General features: G+C 38.0%; 3 annotated features.

Moving 5' to 3' along the window:
* Nucleotides 587-1,131: an enhancer, noted in NCBI's record as "NANOG-H3K27ac-H3K4me1 hESC enhancer chr12:98002200-98002744 (GRCh37/hg19 assembly coordinates)". NCBI's record gives its function as "activates a minimal SCP1, AML or CMV promoter by ChIP-STARR-seq in naive H9 embryonic stem cells {active_cell/tissue: H9 hESC(naive)}" and the evidence as "EXISTENCE:reporter gene assay evidence [ECO:0000049][PMID:30033119]".
* Nucleotides 13,973-14,117: an enhancer, noted in NCBI's record as "145 bp enhancer 214 fragment used in the MPRA reporter construct; PK_construct_3120". NCBI's record gives its function as "activates an SV40 promoter by MPRA in HepG2 cells {active_cell/tissue: HepG2}" and the evidence as "EXISTENCE:reporter gene assay evidence [ECO:0000049][PMID:23512712]".
* Nucleotides 14,040-14,050: a transcriptional cis regulatory region, noted in NCBI's record as "NFE2L2 motif; enhancer activity is reduced when this motif is scrambled". NCBI's record gives its function as "necessary for full MPRA enhancer 214 activity {active_cell/tissue: HepG2}" and the evidence as "EXISTENCE:site-directed mutagenesis evidence [ECO:0005528][PMID:23512712]".

Below are 21,173 nucleotides of genomic sequence, written 5' to 3'. Positions count from 1 at the left end.
TTAGGGGTTGGGATAGGAAAGAGGAGAAGAAAGACATATTTGTCTTGTTTTTAATAGCAGTGGGTCAATAATGATGTTTAAAATTGAAACCTGTAATTGGAAAAACAGAACAAAACAAAAATTTTAACTGCCTACTATTTTTCCTGATCCTTTCTTTTTTTAATTTTTGATTTTTTTAAGAAAATAAGGAGGGTGGAGCCAAGATGGCCAAATAGGAACAGCTCCAGTCTACAGCTCCCAGAGTGAGCGACGCAGAAGACAGGTGATTTCTGCATTTCCAACTGAGGTACCAGGTTCATCTCAATAGGGAGTGCCAGACAGTGGGTGCAGGACAGTGGGTGCTTTGCGTGAGCTGAAGCAGGACAAGGCATTGCCTCACCCAGGAAGTGCAAGGGGTCAGGGAATTCCCTTTCCTAGTCAAAGAAAGGGGTGACAGACGGCACCTGGAAAATCGAGTCACTCCCACCCTAATACTGCACTTTTCCAACTGGCTTAACAAATGGCACACCAGGAGATAATACCCCGCACCTGGCTCAGAGGGTCCTACGCCCACGGAGCCTCGCTGATTGCTAGCACAGCAGTCTGAGATCAAACTGCAAGGCAGCATCGAGACTGGGGGAGGGGCGCCCGCCATTGCCAAGGCTTGAGTAGGTAAACAAAGCAGCCGGGAAGCTCCAACTGCGTGGAGCCCACCACAGCTCAAGGAGGTCTGCCTGCCTCTGTAGGCTCCACCTCTGGGGGCAGGGCACAGACAAACAAAAGGCAGCAGTAACATCTGCAGACTTAATTGTCCCTGTCTGACAGCTTTGAAGAGAGTAGTGGTTTTCCCAGCATGCAGCTTGATATCTGAGAATGGGCAGACTGCCTCCTCAAGTGGGTCCCTGACCCCCGAGTAGCCTAACTGGGAGGCACCCCCCAGTAGGCACGGACTGACACCTCACACAGCTGGGTACTCCTCTGAGATGAAACTTCCAGAGGAACGATCAGGCAGCAGCATTTGCAGTTCACCAATATCCGCTGTTCTGCAGCCACTGCTGCTGACACCCAGGCAAACAGGGTCTGGAGTGGACCTCCAGCAAACTCCGACAGACCTGCAGCTGAGGGTCCTGACTGTTAGAAGGAAAACTAACAAACAGAAAGGACATCCACACCAAAAACCCATCTGTACATCACCATCATCAAAGACCAAAGGTAGATAAAACCACAAAGATAGGGAAAAAACAGAGCATAAAAACTGGAAACTCTAAAAATCAGAGCGCTTCTCCTCCTCCAAAGGAACGCAGCTCCTCACCAGCAACGGAACAAAGCTGGAAGGAGAATGACTTTGACGAGTTGAGAGAAGAAGGCTTCAGAAGATCAAACTACTCCGAGCTAAAGGAGGAAGTTCGAACCAATGGCAAAGAAGTGAAAACCTTGAAAAAAAGTTAGACGAATGGCTAACTAGAATAACCAATGCAGAGAAGTCCTTAAAGTACCTGATGGAGCTGAAAACCAAGGCACGAGAACTATGTGACGAATGCAAAAGTCTCAGTAGCTGATGCGATCAACTGGAAGAAAGGGTATCAGCAATGGAAGATGAAATGAATGAAATGAAGTGAGAAGAGAAGTTTAGAGAAAAAAGAATAAAAAGAAATGAACAAAGCCTCCAAGAAATATGGGACTATGTGAAAAGACCAAATCTACGTCTGATTGGTGTACCTGAAAGTGAGGGGGAGAATGGAACCAAGTTGGAAAACACTCTGCAGGATATTATCTAGGAGAACTTCCCCAACCTAGCAAGGCAGGCCAGCATTCAAATTCAGGAAATACAGAGAACGCCACAAAGATACTCCTTGAGAAGAGCAACTCCAAGACACATAATTGTCAGATTCACCAAAGTTGAAATGAAAGAAAAAATGTTAAGGGCAGCAAGAGAGAAAGGTTGGGTTACCCACAAAGGGAAGCCCATCAGACTAACAGCTGATCTCTCCGCAGAAACTCTACAAGTCAGAAGAGAGTGGGGGCCAATATTCAACATTCTTAAAGAAAAGAATTTTCAACCCAGAATTTCATATCCAGCCAAACTAAGCTTCATAAGTGAAGGAGAAATAAAATACTTTACAAACAAGCAAATGCCGAGAGATTTTGTCACCTCCCGGCCTGCCCTAAAAGAGTTCCTGAAGGAAGCACCAAACAGGGAAAGGAACAACCGGTACCAACCACTGTAAAAACAAGCCAAATTGTAAAGACCATCAAGGCTAGGAAGAAACTGCATCAACTAACGAGCAAAATCACCAGCTAACATCATAATGACAGGATCAAATTCAAACATAACGATATTAATCTTAAATGTAAATGGGCTAAATGCTCCAATTAAAAGACACAGACTGGCAAATTGGACAAAGAGTCAAGACCCATCAGTGTGCTGTATTGAGGAAACCCATCTCACGTGCAGAGGCACACATGGGCTCAAAATAGACGGATGGAGGAAGGTCTATCAAGCAAATGGAAAACAAAAAAAGGCAGGGGTTGCAATCCTAGTCTCAGATAAAACAGACTTTAAACCAACAAAGATCAAAAGAGATAAAGAAGGCCATTACATAATGATAAAGGGATCAATTCAACGAGAAGAGCTAACTATCCTAAATATATATGCACCCAATACAGGAGCACCCAGATTCATAAAGCAAGTGCTTAGTGACCTACAAAGAGACTTAGACTCCCACACAATAATAATGGGAGACTTTAACACCCCACTGTCAACATTAGACAGATCAACGAGACAGAAAGTTAACAAGGATATCCAGGACTTGAACTCAGTTCTGCACCAAGCAGACCTAATAGACATCTACAGAACTCTCCACCCCAAATCAACAGAATATACATTCTTTACAGCACCACACCACACCTATTCCAAAATTGACCACATAGTTGGAAGTAAAGCACTCCTCAGCAAATGTAAAAGAACAGAAATTATAACAAGCTGTCTCTCAGACCACAGTGCAATCAAACTAGAACTCAGGATTAAGAATCTCACTCAAAACTGCTCAACTACATGGAAACTGAACAACCTGCTCCTGAATGACTACTGGGTACATAACGAAATAAAGGCAGAAATAAAGATGTTCTTTGAAACCAATGAGAACAAAGACACAACATACCAGAATCTCTGGGACACACTCAAAGCAGTGTGTAGAGGGAAATTTATAGCACTAAATGCCCACAAGAGAAAGCAGGAAAGATCTAAAATTGACACCCTAATATCACAATTAAAAGAACTAGAGAAGCAAGAGCAAACACATTCAAAAGCTAGCAGAAGGCAAGAAATAACTAAGATCAGAGCAGAACTGAAGGAAATAGAGACACAAAAAACCCTTCAAAACATCAATGAGTCCAGGAGCTGGTTTTTTGAAAGGATCAACAAAATTGATAGACCGCTAGCAAGACTAATAAAGAGGAAAAGAGAGAAGAATCAAATAGACGCAATAAAAAATGACAAAGGGGATATCAACACTGATCCCACAGAAATACAAAGTACCATCAGAGAATACTATAAACACCTCTACGCAAATAAACTAGAAAATCTAGAAGAAATGGATAAATTCTTCGACACATACAAGTTCCCAAGACTAAACCAGGAAGAAGTTGAATCTCTGAATAGGCCAATAACAGGCTCTGAAATTGAGGCAATAATTAATAGCTTACCAACCAAAAAGAGTCCAGGACCAGATGGATTCACAGCCGAATTCAACCAGAGGTACAAGGAGGAGCTGGTACCATTCCTTCTGAAACTATTCCAATCAATAGAAAAAGAGGGAATCCTCCCTAACTCATTTTATGAGGCCAGCATCATCCTGATACCAAAGCCTGGCAGAGATGCAACAAAAAAAGAGAATTTTAGACCAATATCCTTGATGAACATTGATGCAAAAATCCTCAATAAAATACTGGCAAACTGAATCTAGCAGCACATCAAAAACTTATCCACCATGATCAAGTGGGCTTCATCCCTGGGATGCAAGGCTGGTTCAACATACGCAAATCAATAAACGTAATCCAGCATATAAACAGAACCAAAGACAAAAAGCACATGATTATCTCAATAGATGCAGAAAAGGCCTTTGACAAAATTCAACAACTCTTCATTCTAAAAACTCTCAATAAATTAGGTATTGATGGGACGTAACTCAAAATAATAAGATCTATCTATGACAAACCCACAGCCACTATCATACTGAATGGACAAAAACTGGAAGCATTCCCTTTGAAAACTGGCATAAGACAGGGATGCCCTGTCTCACCACTCCTATTCTACGTAGTGTTGGAAGTTCTGGCCAGGGCAATCAGGCAGGAGAAGGAAACAAAGGGCATTCAATTAGGAAAAGAGGAAGTCAAATTGTCCCTGTTTGCAGATGACATGATTGTATATCTAGAAAACCCCATCATCTCAGCCCAAAATCTCCTTAAGCTGATAAGCAACTTCAGCAAAGTCTCAGGATACAAAATCAATGTGCAAAAATTACAAGCATTCTTATATACCAATAACAGACAAACAGAGAGCCAAATCATGAGTGAACTCCCATTCACAATTGCTTCAAAGAGAATAAAATAGCTAGGAATCCAACTTACAAGGGATTTGAAGGACCTCTTCAAGGATAACTACAAACCACTGCTCAATGAAATAAAAGAGGGTACAAACAAATGGAAGAACATTCCATGCTCATGGGTAGGAAGAATCAATATCGTGAAAATGGCCATACTGCCCAAGGTAATTTATAGATTCAATGCCATCCCCATCAATCTACCAATGCCTTTCTTCACAGAATTGGAAAAAACCACTTTAAAGTTCATATGGAACCAAAAAAGAGCCCGCATTGCCAAGTCAATCCTAAGCCAAAAGAACAAAGAACAAACTGGAGGCATCATGCTACCTGACTTCAAAATATGCTACAAGGCTAAAGTAACCAAAACAGCATGGTACTGGTACCAAAACAGAGATACAGACCAATGGAACAGAACAGAGCCCTCAGAAATAATGCCACATATCTACAACTACCTGATCTTTGACAAACCTGACAAAAACAAGCAATGGGGAAAGGATTCCCTATTTAATAAATGGTGCTGGGAAAACTGGCTAGCCATATGTAGAAAGCTGAAACTGGATCCCTTCCTTACACCTTATACAAAAATTAACTCAAGATGGATTTAAGACTTAAATGTTAGACCTAAAACCATAAAAACCCTAGAAGAAAACCTAGGCAATACCATTCAGGACATAGGCATGAGCAAGGACTTCATGTCTAAAACACCAAACGCAATGGCAACAAAAGCCAAAATTGACAAATGGGATCTAATTAAACTCAAGAGCTTCTGCACAGCAAAAGAAACTGCCTTCGGAGTGAACAGGCAACCTACAGAATGGGAGAAAATTTTTGCAACCTACTCATCTGACAAAGGGCCAATATCCAGAATCTACAATGAACTCAAACAAATTGATAAGAAAAAAACAAACAACCCCATCAAAAAGTGGGCAAGGATATGAACAGACGCTTCTCAAAAGAAGACATTTATGCAGCCAAAAAACACATGAAAAAATGCTCATCATCACTGGCCATCAGAGAAATGCAAATCAAAACCACAATGAGATACCATCTCACACCAGTTAGAACGGCGATTATTCAAAAGTCAGGACACAACAGGTGCTGGAGAGGATGTGGAGAAATAGGAACACTTTTACACTGTTGGTGGGACTGTAAACTGGTTCAACCATTGTGGAAGTCAGTGTGGCGATTCCTCAGGGATCTAGAACTAGAAATACAATTTGACCCAGCCATCCCATTACTGGGTATATACCCAAAGGATTATAAATCATGCTGCTATAAAGACACATGCACACGTATGTTTATTGCGGCACTGTTCACAATAGCAAAGACTTGGAACCGACCCAAATGTCCAACAATGATAGACTGAATTAAAGAAATGTGGCACATATACACATGGAATACTATGCAGCCATAAAAAAATGATGAGTTCATGTTCTTTGTAGGGACATGGATGAAGCTGGAAACCATCATTCTCAGCAAACTATTGCAAGGACAAAAAACCAAACACCGCATGTTCTCACTCATAGGTGGGAATTGAACAATGAGAACACATGGACACAGGAAGGGGAACATCACACACCAGGGACTGTTGTAGGGTGGGGGGAGGGGGGAGGGATAGCATTAGGAGATATACCTAATGCTAAATGACGAGTTAATGGGTGCAGCACACCAACATGGCACATGTATACATATGTAACAAACCTGCACGTTGTGCACATGTACCCTAAAACTTAAAGTATAATAATAATAAAATTTAAAAAAAAAGAAAATAAGGGGTGTGTGTGTGTGTGTGTGTGTGTGTGTGATTCAGCAATTCTTTTGCATGTATTCAGTTTTTTCTTCCTTTTAATACAGCCAAATGAACACAAAAGCTTTCCTTTTTTTTCTGAAAACCCATGAGTATCAGAATAAAAGAATTTAAAAAGGTATAAACTCATCATAATAAAGAAAACAGAAAAGGAAATTATAAGCAGATAATAGATTTCAACAATTTCTGGAAGAGAGAAAGAAGGGTGCTCGCTGATTAAGAAAAGATTTAAAAGCTGCAGCCTAAATATACCTGTCTCCTGGGCAGGAAGCAGGGGCTAAAGTGGAGAGTATTAGAGAATTATAGGGAGGATCTTGATTAAGAAATCATAAAGCAAGTGAATGGCAGCCATAAAATTGGGTTGAACACAGGCAACGGATTTAAGGTACATGCATAGGTCAATTGATTCCCTCATCCCCTTACCCCCAATTAAAAAAACAGAGGGTAAGTATTTAGCCCTTTAGGAGACTGTACTATTATTACAGATATTTTTGTTCCTTTTTTTTTTTTTTGTGGTACACATGCCTATCCAAGAGTTAAATAGCCTTGTCCTGTTGTACTTGCTCAAGGTCATGTGATTTCTTTGGCAACAAATACTAGCAGAAATGATGTGTTTCACTTTCAAGCAGAAGTGTTAAGGGCCAGCACATGGTTCACCATGTGTCTGTTCCCTTTGCCACAACACTGCCAGTATCTTTGAGAGGAGCTATTTTTGTTAGCCTAGGTCAGGTAATAAAGCAAGAGGAAGCAGAACATAAGCCAATGCATGGTAGACTTGTGATAATCTTTGTTATTGTAAACCATTGGGATTTGGAGGGTTGTTTGTTACTATAGCATTGCTTAGCCGAAACTAATACAAACTCCAGTACAAAACAAGGAAAGAATGCCCCCCTGCCCCGACGCACACATACACACACACATAAGGTTCTCCTTCAAAGAACAAACTGGAGAGAATTAAAATAGCTATTGTGGCTGTCATTGCTACAGAGGAAAAGCACTCATCATTCTCACCATTCTTGAACTTGGGAGGCCCTTATATAATAACCGTTGCCTTGTGCACTCACACTGAGGAAGAGCCTTCCTGCCAATTTTCTAGCTGTATACACAGTTCTTCCAGTCAACATTCATCTTTCTTCATTCTTAACCTTGTAAATAGACAAGTAAGGTTCATTATTCATTTAGGGAAAGTCCCAGTCTGAAGTGATGGAATAATATAGTCCAAAAAATATGAGGCCAGGGGAAATAGGGATTATTCAGAAAACAGACAGAAACAGAAAGAAAGGAAGAAAGGGGAGAGAAGGAAGACAGAAACAGGAGAAAATAGTAGAGAAATAAAGACAAATAAAGAATATTCTCTTTATTTTCCAGGAAAGTTAGAAAGATATTTTATCAATAATACAAATACAGGATGGTGTAACAGAGCTCTAGTTTTCCTCCCTAAATACATTTCTACCCTTCTTCCTGATGGCATGCAGCTAGACTATTTTTCATGTTCCTTCACAGTTAGTTGTAACATGTGACAGTTCTACTCTATTTAATGTGAAACGAAGCAATGCATGCAACTATTGTCCCAGAACTTCTTTTTTCCTTTCCGTGTGAATGTGGCTGTGACACAGCTTTGGCCATGCAAAAGAGAGTGACACCTTAAGGGATGACATGGTGGAAGATGGAGGGAACTTGGGCTCCTGACGGCTTCGGGAAGCACAATCACCCCATCCATCTCATGTCAGTTACACAAGAATGAAATGGAGTTTGGTATTATTTAAGTCACCATATTTTGGGGCCTATTGTGACAGCCACCTAGATTTATGTCAATAACATAGATGATTTGAAAAATAACAGAGAGCAAAACAAGCACAGGGAAATTAACAAACAAAATGGCCAAAAAATGAAATAATGGAAGAAAACTTGAGGATCTATCCCAGTACATATCACTAAAAAAGACAGGAAAAATACAAGAGAACATATAATAAAGTATCAATGCCAAAGCTTCAATGCCTGACGACTAGAAGTTCCAGAGAAAGGATGAAAAATGTGAACAGGAGAAAATTAGTAAACAACAACAACAACAACAACCATTGATTATATTTATACAAAAGAAAAAAAAACAGAAAAACTGAATCTTCCTGTTAGACATCAGGATAGTGGTTACCTTGCCAGGGTGATCAGAACAAAACAGGAGAAAAGTTTCTGAGGTGCTGGAATCATCCCATTTCCTGTCTTTAGTGCTTGTTACAGGGATATTTTCAGCTTTTGGAAAAAGAAATAGATTATACTCTTATGACTCATGGATTTTTCTCCAAGTAGATTATATGTAAATAAAAATTTTTAAATAAAACAAAATGAAGAAATATGAACAAAACTTTCCCGCACTGAAGTGAGATGAATCTTTACTTTAAAAGAGCTTTTCAAGTCCTAGAAAAAGAATATACAAAAAGAAATACCATTCTATAATTTCTAAGATTTCCTAATGCTAAAGTTAAAGAGATCTCAAAAGTTGCCAAAGAGAGAAGAAAAAAGTAATTTACAGAAGAATAAAAGTAGATCATCATCAAACATCTCACCATCAGTCATACATGCTGAAAAATGATAAAATAGAGCCTTTGAAATTCTGAGATAATTAATTTGATCCTAGAATTCTATACCTAATCCAACTAATAAGCAACTATGAATAGTCACATCATTTTCAGATGTGTCAGAACTCACTAAGTTTGTCTCCTTATTTCAAAGTAGTTATTTAAAGATGTACTCCAGCGAAACAGGATAAGAACTAGAAAAGTGAAGACATAGGATATAAGAAATGGAGGAACTGCCGGGCGCAGTGGCTCACACCTGTAATCCCAGCAGTTTGGGAGGTCAAGGCGGGCAGTTCAGGAGGTCAGGAGATTGAGACCATCCTGGCTAATACAGTGAAACCCCATCTCTACTAAAAATAAAAAATAAAATAAAAAAAAATTAGCCAAGCGTAGTGGCATGTGCCTGTAGTTCCAGCTACTTGGGAGGCTGAGGCAAGTGAATCACTTGAACCCAGGAGGCGGAGGTTGCAGTGAGCCAAGATTGCACCACTGCACTCCATCCTGGGTGACAGAGTGAGACTCCATCTCAAAAAAATTAAAAAAAATAAAAAGAAAAGAAAAAAGAAATGGAGGAACAAAACCAAGAGTCCAATGAAAAGATCAATTAGAATGACTGCTGTGTGACAGGCCAAAAAAGAATTGACTAATCATAGAACAAGAAATCGCTGTCCAATGAGCATGCCTTCAGAAAGAAGGGAATAGATTCCAAAGAGTAGTTAGAATGATTAAGAGCTGGACACTATCAATTACATTTTTCCCCTCTCAAGGCAAGAGACAATTAAAAACTCCAGAAAGCAAACAAGAATATTGTGTCCTAAATAAAAAACAAATTAGAATTTGGTGAAGTATAAGAATAAAGAATCTTTCGACCTTGGTTCTGGAAACATTCCATTTTTCAGTGAAACAGGAAGAGAAGGAATCAGAGTGTTACATTGGTTCTGCAGGGAAACATTTACATAGTCATAATGTAAATGCTTTTAAATGCTTTCAACATTTATGGAAAATTATAAAGATTCATCACAATTAGAGAACAAAATGTAAATGCTATCAACCTTGATAATACAAAGTAAGAGTACAAATACTTTTAGATCTGATATGTGAAAAAAATGGGAAAGGGAAGAGGGAAAAATATGACAAAAAGGTAATGTTGCTAGTATCTTTATTTAAAAATTGCATAGTCATGGAACATTTTTAAAAATTGTGCTAAAAAGAGATACATAAATTTATGGTGATAAGACTATCAGAAATTAAAACAGAGAATAAAAATGTATTACTTTTCTCTACTAATGAAATATACAACTTCCAATAAGTTATGAATGAAAGCATTTGTTAGGTAATGTTACTCAATACAATATTTAAAGAAAACTTCTGAAAACTAGAACCCGGATCTATATGTTTATAGCATAGCGCTTGGCATATAGAAGTTCAAAATAAGTATTTGTTGAGAGAGCCAGTACTTGTCTCTTTTTGTTCTTTTGTTTCCTATCTTGAATTGCTTTTTTGACAGAGCTGGTGCCCATACTGCTAATGTTTAGTTGGATTTTTAGACTTGTTTGAAAATTGTTGCATAGTACCTAAGACAAAGGTCTTACCAAGGAATCAAACAGAGGTCATCTCAATTAAGATAAATGGAAATCGCTAATGAGTGGTTAGCATGAAAATAAAAGCCTTAGGCCGGGCGAGGTGGCTCATGTCTGTAATCCCAGCACTTTGGGAGGCCGAGGCGGGCGGATCACGAGGTCAGGAGTTCCAGACCAGCCTGGCCAACATGGTGAAAGCCCCATCTCTACTAAAAATACAAAAAATTAGCAACATGTGGTGGCGGGTGCCTGTAATCCCAGCTACTCAGCAAGCTGAGGCAGAATTGCTGGAACCCGGAGGCAGAGGTTGCAGTGAGCCCAGATCACACCACTACACACCAGCCTGGGTGACAGAGCAGGACTCCATCTCGGGAAAAAAAAAAAAAAAAAGAAAGAAAAGAAAAGCCTTAGTTGTGCAATGGCTAATTTCCTAATTTCACTTGTGAATTTCTCTTAGGAAAAATAAAATCTAGTAAAGATCAAGATGGCGCCTCCCAACCCCAGGTTTTTCTTCAGTCTGAACAGTGAGTTAGAGACACACGCTATTGTGCATCTGGGGTTGAGGGAGTGGGGTCGATGTTTAATACTTACTTAGTCCTTCCTTCCAGACAAATCCATTTCCTTTGACATCATTTCTGCTCCTCCATCAGTTGTGAATATAAAATTTGATTATCCAACAACAAATCCTGGTTTAGTTTCCCCGTCCTTAATCAACATTCCAAAGCTGTCTGTTTACTTAGTTTTTGCAAGCAACTTTTTCTCAAACCCCAGAGTATGCTTTATGAACAGTAACTCACATTTCTGAAAATATTAGAACAATGTTCTCTCTATAGCATTTTATTTTTTGGAGGACTCTCTTATCTTCATATATGACAAGGGGTAACTATTTCCACATTCTCATTATTGACCCTTTTCTCTCTATAATGGGCTATTATCAACCTGATTTTAAAGGAGAGATTGTGCCAAGAGATGGCCTTTTCTTTAAAATGACACCTTTTAAAACACAAAATAAGCAAGCAACTGATTCAAAACAATTAAGGAGTTAGGTTTTCTTCATAATGACAATGTCATCAGTGACAGAATTAGCTGACTGTTATTTCTTTGCCTTCAATTAGTTACTGAACTACTTCAGCCAGAACCCCTGGTTTTATTCCTGTTAGCTGGTTGGGGCTGAGGAAACTGGTATAGATTCTCTTGCTGTGTAAATTCTGTGTATTTTATGGCTATTGCCTTGAATAATATTCATTAATCAAAGAGAGCAGAGTTAAACAGACATTTGCGTGCTTCTATCTTTTCCCCATTTGGATTCCATGGTCCAAGCTCTGGGAAGCCGCTAGAGTTGCCATTTTTCAGGAATTTGTTTGCGAAGTGGCCGATTTACCTCAAGGCCCCTGTGGCTAACACCAAGTGCAAGAAATGACAGGCATGCCATAGCCTGTCAGCTGCTACAATTAAGTAACGTTAATGGCCACGACTGCAGAAAGGGGAGGATAAGAATCATAAAACAGTAGACGTGCATAGGACCATCCAATGCCATCATTTTATATATGAGAAAATTGGGTTCAGAGATTAATGGGTTTGTTCAAGGTCACACAGGTACTTTATCAGGGCCTTATGGTGTTGTGATTTCTTTATAATCCACCTGCTCACCATATTCAGCTGCTAGAATGATTCTCTGCCAACCCAGTTTTGTTACATCACTCCCCTGCTTGGAAACCTTTAGTAACCCCCTATTGTTTCTAGTGTCAGAGCTGTGAGGGGCAAGCAGCTGGCAGAAGCCCAGAGCTCTGTCAGGGACCAGGCGCCTGCAATGAGAAATAAATGGCCAGCTCTAGCAGCAGCTGTGGAAGTCAGATGACAGAGAGGCAGATCATTTGGGTTCTGCTCCCACCTGCATCATTCTAACAAGCTGTCTTGACTTTGGATGAGCCCCTATGACAGACAATCCAGACCTTGATTTTCTCATCTGCAAAATGAGCAAGTTAGACTGTACAGATGTCCATGCTTCCCTTCAACTTGGGAAGTTCATGCCACACCCGTAGCTTTCCCCAGTGCCTCAAAGTTGAAATGTAATATGTACACAATGCTTTTTCCTCTGAGTGCTTTCTGGTCTTCCTTACCTCCCAGGTAAAGAATGAGAAGGTTTGCCCAGTGAGAATCCTGTAGTTTTACACTTGTGAAGGACAGAAAAACTATGGGAATAATTGAAGTCCAACATTATCCTCTTCTGAACTAACTTACTGCCTGCAACCCTTGCCCACTCTCTCTTATACCAACCTTATTTCTTCCCAGTTGGATTTCTCCCCGTTTCTTTCTCCCCCTTCTACAATTTTCCTCCTTCTCATAGACTGATCCTTTATGAATAACCATATTTCCATTTCTCTTTCCAATCTTTCCCTCTCCTCCTTCTATCATTTTTTTTCTCCCATTCTTCCTTCGGTTTGTCTATTCTGGTGGCAAACATCACCTGTCTGTCTCCATCATCAGGAAAAAATTATTTTCCAATCTGGAAAAGCAATCAGTCAATCAGAGGAGCTTTCTCTTTTTTTCTTTTTTTTTTTCTTTTCAAGCTTCAACCAATCTAGATCATTGTGGAGCAGAATAAAGATTTCTAATGGGATGAAGAAAGGTAATTTTTCTCAGGGCAAAGAAATAAGATTGTTGACAGGAAATGACCCCAGCCTTTGCCCTCTAACTTAACAGAATACCTAACCACACTGTTTTGTTCATTCAGAGAGAATCACCGGTGCACCTTTGCAGAAAAATATCCCACAGACTTGCAGGAAATCCCATTTCTCTGATTCCTCATGAGTCAGTGTCTAACAAAGGAAAGAAAGAATGAGTTTTGCTTCACGTTAAGAAAAGTTGGCAACCAAAGTTAAAGGCAGGTCCGGACGCTCTGTACTCTGTGTAGATTATCAATCACCTGAAGGCTATAGCTCCAGCTTCCTCAAGCCTCTCTTACTGCCACCCTTTGACCCTTAGCAAGTAGCTTTTCTCTGCAGTGAGAAATGAAATGGGAAAAGTGGGTAGAGAAATAGAATACAAGGGGGGAAGGTAGAAAAAAACAACAGAGTAGGACACAGTAGAAGGTGGCAAAAAGTGAAGGGCTTTTGCAAGGGAGATATTATTCCACTGGCTTTCTGTAAGGTTTTCTCAACATGTGCATGCTGAAAACACAGGATCCGCTGCATGCCCATCAGTGCAATTCCCAAGGCTCTGCTTTCATTAAATGCAATTTCCTTTCCTCGGGCCCTGCGTTTGCGGCTGCACTGGTTACGGTTTGGGATATTTCATCCATTTGTGACCTTTCTTTCCTGACACCCTGCTTACAGGCAAGTGTTCATGCCAGTTAACCTTCTCTGTTTTCCCCAGGTGACCTTATGAATTTCCAACAGGAAAAATACAAAATCGCCAATTTGTTTGTTCATTACCCAGAGGATAAACACAAAGTGGAGAAGCCTTTTATCTTGCTGCACCGGCAAACCTCCTTATTACTCAGCATCGAACAAACATTTGCTAAGAGTTAATAAATCCAGAGTGTGGCTTTCTTTGTTCGGGGAATGTCCTACCATCCGGGGCAATCACTCATTAAGGAAAAAGAAATACAACACACTCATATTTTATTCATGGCTTCAGAAATCCCAGGGGGGAAAAAACCCAAAATTTATAGACACAGAGAAACCCAAAACAAAAGGTTCCCACTTTCTTATTTCAAATGACACCTTCTGACCCCCAGCCCCTTTGAGGAGATGCTGATCCATGTACAAAATGGTTTCAATACCATTGCCATTTCAGTCAATTGGTCTAATTGTTAACACTGAGCCCAGCGACCTTTCACCATATCCCACCGTTAAAAGAGACTGAGGTTTATTAAAGCATAGCTCTGAATAAGTCCAATGGGTAATACATTTTGCAGTCATCAATCACAAATATCCTCTCAAGATTATTTAGACTTCCTTTCCCAACTTTCTGCCGTAGAGGTATCTGGGCAGGATTCACATTAACGGCATCAACATAGCAACTCTAGCAAGTGTTAATTTACCAATGATTCCTGTGTCTGCTAGCCTGGAAAGGCTCTGCTGATTTATTGGACTTGAGCAGAACTCTCATCCATTATAGCTTGTCTTAACTTAATCAAAGGTATCTTCTCCCTTCAGATTGTCTCACCTACAAACTCCACGGTCACCATGATAAATGTGCCCGCTTGACTTCTTTTTCTGATTACAGTGAATGAAGCATCACAAATAACTTGATACATTCTGTTAATGCTATGGCTTCAGTGCTGAGATGGCTGGAGTTATGTCATGTAGCATTGGCTATGTGGGGAGCTGGAAGGTGATTGCACTGGGGTTTTGATTGAGTGATGTAATTGATGATTGGAAGCAGAACAGAATTCACAGGGATTTCTTGGTTGTTTAAAAGATCAAGAAAGCAAAGCAATTTTCTTGTTTGTTAAGGGAGGCCTTTTCATCCCTCTACCAACAGCAATACGCATATGCACCCCCATTCCGACCCAGCACACACACACACACACACACACACACACACACTCACACACACGTATGCACACACCACAACCCACAGACAGCCACATCCTCTGCAGAAAACATGAGTGGCTTAGAACAGTCTTTAATCTAAACTCTCCCCAAACACAGTGGTTGATAAAAAGAGGATAAGGATGTATCTGAACAAACAAGAACTGGAGGAAACAACTGATACATTTTGAATTTTCAAGTAACTAATAAATTATACCCGAAGGAAAACAGAGTGTTTAAATAACCAAGTATTTTTTTGTACGGAAGAAGTGTCTTGTTTTTGTTTTTTAAGTGGCTTATGGTAAGTGTTCAAGATTAATCTCTAGACTTTGCCTTTGACCTCCTTTTAATTAACAATGATTTGAAATTGGCAACCATGAACTTAAAGTGTTATTCTTTGACTAATTCACCTACCTCCTCTTCTTTGTAGATTTTGACGTCCTCCAAGCAGGTGACGGTTTTATTCCTCTTTGCAACCCCAGCAATTCAGCTAGTGTTTGATCTGTTCAGGGTATTCATAAAATATGAATGTTAAACTGAATTGTTCACATTTAGGAGAAAAATCCCATTAATTTATGTTGTCTCCTATATATGGACCTAGTTCCAAGGATAAATATGGACTGATAAAGCCTCCAGTTGACTGCTTCACTTTTAAATCAGCCCTGTTAAAGAGCAAGCTTTTCTAAATTTCCCTGGTCAATAAGTGCCCCACCCCTTCCCTGGTCAACCTATGGTATCTGGCAACCAGAAAGTCAATATATATATTCCTCTGCTATTGTTTGTGGTGAACATATTTTATTCTATTAAATACATCAGGTTTCTGTAGTACTGTGTTTAAAACAAAGCCTGCAAAGAGTAGACATTGAGTGACAAGTTCAGAGTTTAGATCAGAAGTCAGAAAAACATGGCCTAGGCAAATCTTGCTTATAGCCTATTTTTGTATAGCTTACAAGCTGTATATGATGGTTTTGACATTTTTAAAGGATGTTAAAGAAAGCAATAAAAAAGAATATGCAAGAAAAACCATATGTGGTGCACAAAGCCTAGAATATTTACAGAATGTTTAAAATATTTAGAGAAAAAGTTTGCTGACCCCTGGCTTAGATAATTTTAGACAGCCAACTTCTGAGCATTTTTGAGCATGAAGTAGTTTGATAAAGGTTGATTTTTAAGTATGTTGATCAAAAAACAATGTGGAGAAAAAATTATACTAATAGACCTAGTATAAGATAATAAATTAGTGAAAAGAAATGAGAAAATGAATGTGTCATCTTCTCTAGCAGTGTATACACTCCTTAAAGTAAGAAATGCATTGACAGATTCTTGATTTTTCTGGGAAGATCACGATTTTATATAATCTTATTATTTTCTAAACAAGTAATTTTTTGTTTATATTCTTGTAGGAGAATTTAGCAGATTATAAAATTTTAGTTTGTTTGAAGATGCTATTCCTTTGTATCATAGCACCTATTATAACGGATAAGTCTGCTGTTACTTGAATCCATTCTTATGAAGGTAATCTATCTTTTTCTCTTATTCCATATCATAATTTCTATTTGCATTTCATGTTCTGCAGTTTTACTAGGATCTATGCTGTAGGCTTATTTTTATTTTCTGTAACAGCTTTTTCTAACTAGTGCTTCTTCAATCTATGGGTTCATGTGCTCCTTCATTAAAAAACAACAACAAAAAATTTCTAGCCATTGTTTTTTTGAAATCACTTCTTTGCTTTTCTCATTCCTTACAACTCTTGATACAGCTATCATTAGATTTTCTTATTATTGCTTTCACATCTTTTAAATGCTCTTCCCAATTTTCTGCTTTATCATCTCTGCTTTGCAAAGATGATTTCACTAAATCAGTCTTCCAATTTACTGATTCTCTTACCAGCCACATTTAGTATATGCATTAATCTGTCCATTTAATTTTTCTAAAATGAAACTATTTGGTTCTTTTTCAACTCTGTATCCTTTTTATTAGGTCTAATTTTTCTATTATTGATTCTATTCCTTTTTATCTCTTCAAATATTTTAAACATGCTTATTTTATTGTTTCAGAGTATACTCTTCTATTTATGGTAGTCTTGTGAAGCTCTCCTTGGGGAAAAGATATAAGGCTTATAACTTTCATTGGAGTGGAGAAAACATAGTGTGCAACTTGGAACCAACTGGCCATTTATGGAATAAATGACAATTTAAAGAAAGGAATGAATTATTAGAAAGATAAATTAGGACACAATTGAAAAAGATCATTTTCTTTAAAAATGTTGGAGTTTAAGATGCATGTAATAGAGAGCCATGGAAGGTGAAGCAGGGTACCCTGGTAAAAAGAATGCTGTAGGAATCTCTTAATATCAAAATTTTAAGAAACTTTGGCATTTTTCTAACACAAATGCTTTAATTACAGGGAAGGAAAGAGAATGTACAAGATAAGTTACTCTGCTCAAGAAGTTACAGCCAAGGGAAAGTATTGCATAGAAGCAAGAAGATAAATAAAATTGGAGGAGACAAGAAGATTGATTAGGAAGCTGTAGTAATTCAGGTGTGAAATGAAGAGATCTTGTACTAGGTTAGTAATATTGAGAATAGCAAGAAAAGGATAAAGGAATGATCTACAGGGCTCCTGAATGTTTGTAATATATGGAACAGTGTATAATGGAAAGGTAATTCTAAATTGAAAGCTGAGACAACTGTGGGCCCATTAACATTACTGTAGACAATAAAATGTTAAAAGAAATACTAAGAAGTTCAAGCAAAAAAGAATGGCAGAGAGGAGAGAAGCCTTTTGGCATGTTGTACGCATTTGACACATGTTTACATTATTTTAATATTATTATTATTATTATTTTACTGCCCAGGGAGAGGTATGATTTAGTGGGGAAGAAAACTTGGACTTTGGAGTAAAAAAAAAAAAAAAGTATGCACTATTGGGCATGTTATAACTTCTTTTTATCTTATATCCCTCACTTTCCTGCCTCACTAGAGAATTTTATGGATCAGATGTAACAAGGTGACATGAAAGGTTTTGTAACCTACAAAGCATTATTATTCAAATGTGAGATACTACTTTTCCTGGTCATAGTATTGCAAGTAGAGTTAAGTATCTTTCAGGCATAGATTTTGGAGTAAAAAGTAATGCTCCAGGCTCAGCTTAGCTCCTACAAATTCTGCAATACTGGACAATTTCTTTTTTTCCCCTGTATCTAAGTTTATGAATCTATGCAACATGCATAACTGCAGTATTTACAGCTTGCTGGGTGGATGATATTGGGATCATGTGTGTAAAGCACAAGATCAGGCATGCAGTTGATAATTAATGTTAACTCTTGTCACCACACTGATTTTAAAGAACATGGATGTGTTGCATGGCTGAAATTACCTTTTTACAGCTCTGTAGTTCTTGTGGCTGATGAAGATAAAATTCTGCCTGAATTTTAAGGGCTAGAAGATCTGAAAGCTCTCATAGTTGAAGCCAAAGGGTAATTTGATTAAAGCTGAAGGAAATGAACATAAATGTTCCTTAGCCCATCTGACATATATGAAGTGATACCAAGAACATCACTGTTTACTCAACTTTTGTAGTTGGAAGTGAAAAAGTTTTATGGGTGGGGTACCATCTTTTATTTTCTATTCTATAATCTTGCATTGAGCACATATTATTTCTTTTAAAAGATTCATTTTAAAAGAATGTGCAGTTCTAGGGGAATCAGCTTCTGCCTATTCTATGACCAACACATGATGCTTGCAATGAATTTTCTCAACCTCTGAAAGTTGTAAAATATAAGTATATAGTCATAACATATTGAAATGAACCACCATGGACACTAGTTAAGTTGGACAGAAATTTCAGAAATTTCACTGTGGCTTGAAAGCAAGGAAACCATTAATTTCTAATACTCCATATTAGCCTGGCAACTGTATGGACCTAGCAGGTGTTGCCCAGGAAGCCATGTTTCCTTAGAATTAATGACACGCCATAATTGTAGCAATTTTTCTAAGTCTCTAGAGTGTCTGTAATTAAGAAGTTTAACTGCACTTAAAATGATATAAAGTGCCATTAGTCCCATGCTAAATCATTTCAGATTACTGCTATATTTGCCAGTGAAATTATCCAGGTAATTTTCTCAACCTGACTAATGTAAGGTTTCACACATGAGTACTTCCATTGAATAAAACTTCAGGCTTATTACAAAAAAGAAAATGTTTTGAAGCTCCACAAAATTGAAATGTGAAGCTTTGCTGTTTATTTTCGTCTCTCTGAGCCAGTTTCCTCATTGAGTGGGTTGGACTAGACCAGTGGCTGCCATTTAATTTGCAAAGTGATTTCTTTCCCCTCCATGTAATCAGTGGAACTTCCCTTCAAATACAATTGTAACTGAACACCCAGGTCAGCTCAGGCTGAAGAAAGAAATCAGAAGACCCCCACCTACCTTGTGTTCACCCCTAAGAAGACCCATCCCTCTTTAAAACCTCCAAAACTCCGTGGATTAAATATTGGGGTGGTACACAAGTAATTGCAGTTTGGGCCATTACTTTCAATGGCAAAAACCACAATTACATTTGCACCAACCTAATAACATTTAGGTCCTTTCTAGTTTGCTATTTTACTTCTAAGTAAGGTTCCATCTCAAGTGTTTAATTCATTACCATATATATTTTTTTCTCTACAACCTTCCCTTAAAGACAAGTTCCAAAAAGTGAAGTAGTTTTAATTCATATGAAAAAGAAAACTAGGGTGAAGATTTCTTTTAAGTTAATAGCCCAGTCTATTGTCCTAAAACAAAATGGTGGTCAATAAAATATTTAGAATTAGCACATCTTTTTTATGCATGCATTTCCAGTGTGAGAGGGAAAAGAGTCAGATGTTCAACACAAAATAATTGTTTTCATTTATGGTGTCTTCAACGCATTGCTCTGTTATGTTTCATTTTGCTAACAGTGCCTGTTCTAATAATGTCAGTTACTTAGGTTTATGGGGTAACCTGATAACCAATCCAGCCTTATTCATAGATTTACCCCAGTTTCTTATGGGGTGGTAAGAGATATGATGCTATAATTTAATTAGGTCAGAAACTGATATATGCTATGCAAAAAGAAATTACATGATTCATTTGAATCTTAAAACCCGAAATATATACAATCATAGCTCATCATTACTCACCATCCAGCCATTAAATTGTCTTATGTGAAGTGCTTACATTTTACCCTTTCTAGTGATTTTTATTCTTCTGGCACTTGTGTCTTTCATCTGAGACCAAAACGATCTGCCTAAATCCTTCTGTTAAAAAATCTGCCTAAAACACTTACTATTTCTATGTTTTCAAGTCTGCTATCTTTATTTTTGTGCAAGAACATTATTTGGCCTGCATTTAAACAGATATCTTCATTTAGATATAAAATTCTAGTTTTGCAATTATTTTGTTTCATCCCTTCAAAGATACCCCATTGTCTTCCTGCTTCTATCACTTTCATTTAGAAGTCAGGCAATGCCCTGTTGCTCCTTTTGAAGGTAGTACATATTTTCTATGCTCTGGCTGTTTTAAGAGCCTCTTCTTGCCTTTAACTTTCAGCAGTCTTTCTATACTGTGCTTAGGTGTAGTTTTCTTGCATTTATCTTACTTGGAATGCTTGAGGCTTTTTGAATCTGGTTTGAAGCCTTTCATCAGTTTTGAAAACTTCTTATATCTTGAATGTTTATTTCTCCTCCGTTCTCTCTCCTTTCCTTCTGACACTTCAGCTGCATGTATGCTATAACTTTTTACTATGTTTCATATTCCTAAAGGATGCTTTTCTATGTTATCTTTTTTTTTTCTGGATTTCTATCCAGGCATTTTTTATTGACTTGTCTCATAGTTGACTAATTCTCTTATCAGTTGTTTCTAATTGGTGATCAAACACATCTACTAAGTTTTTAGATTTTCTTTGCTATAAATTCCATTTATTTCTATTGTACTAGTACCAGTTTTCTGCTAAAATTATCCATGTTTTTATCAAGTTTTTTGATACATTAATTATAGTTCTCTTTTTTGGTTGTCTTTCTTAGTAATTTTTTCTCTTGTATTCTGACATGGCTAGTAATTTTTTGTTAAA

The sequence above is a fragment of the Homo sapiens genome, chromosome 12 (assembly GCF_000001405.40).
Source record: "Homo sapiens chromosome 12, GRCh38.p14 Primary Assembly".
Lineage (NCBI taxonomy): Eukaryota > Metazoa > Chordata > Mammalia > Primates > Hominidae > Homo > Homo sapiens.
Note: the sequence above shows the minus strand (reverse complement) of the source record. Positions and strands in the feature narration are given on the sequence as shown.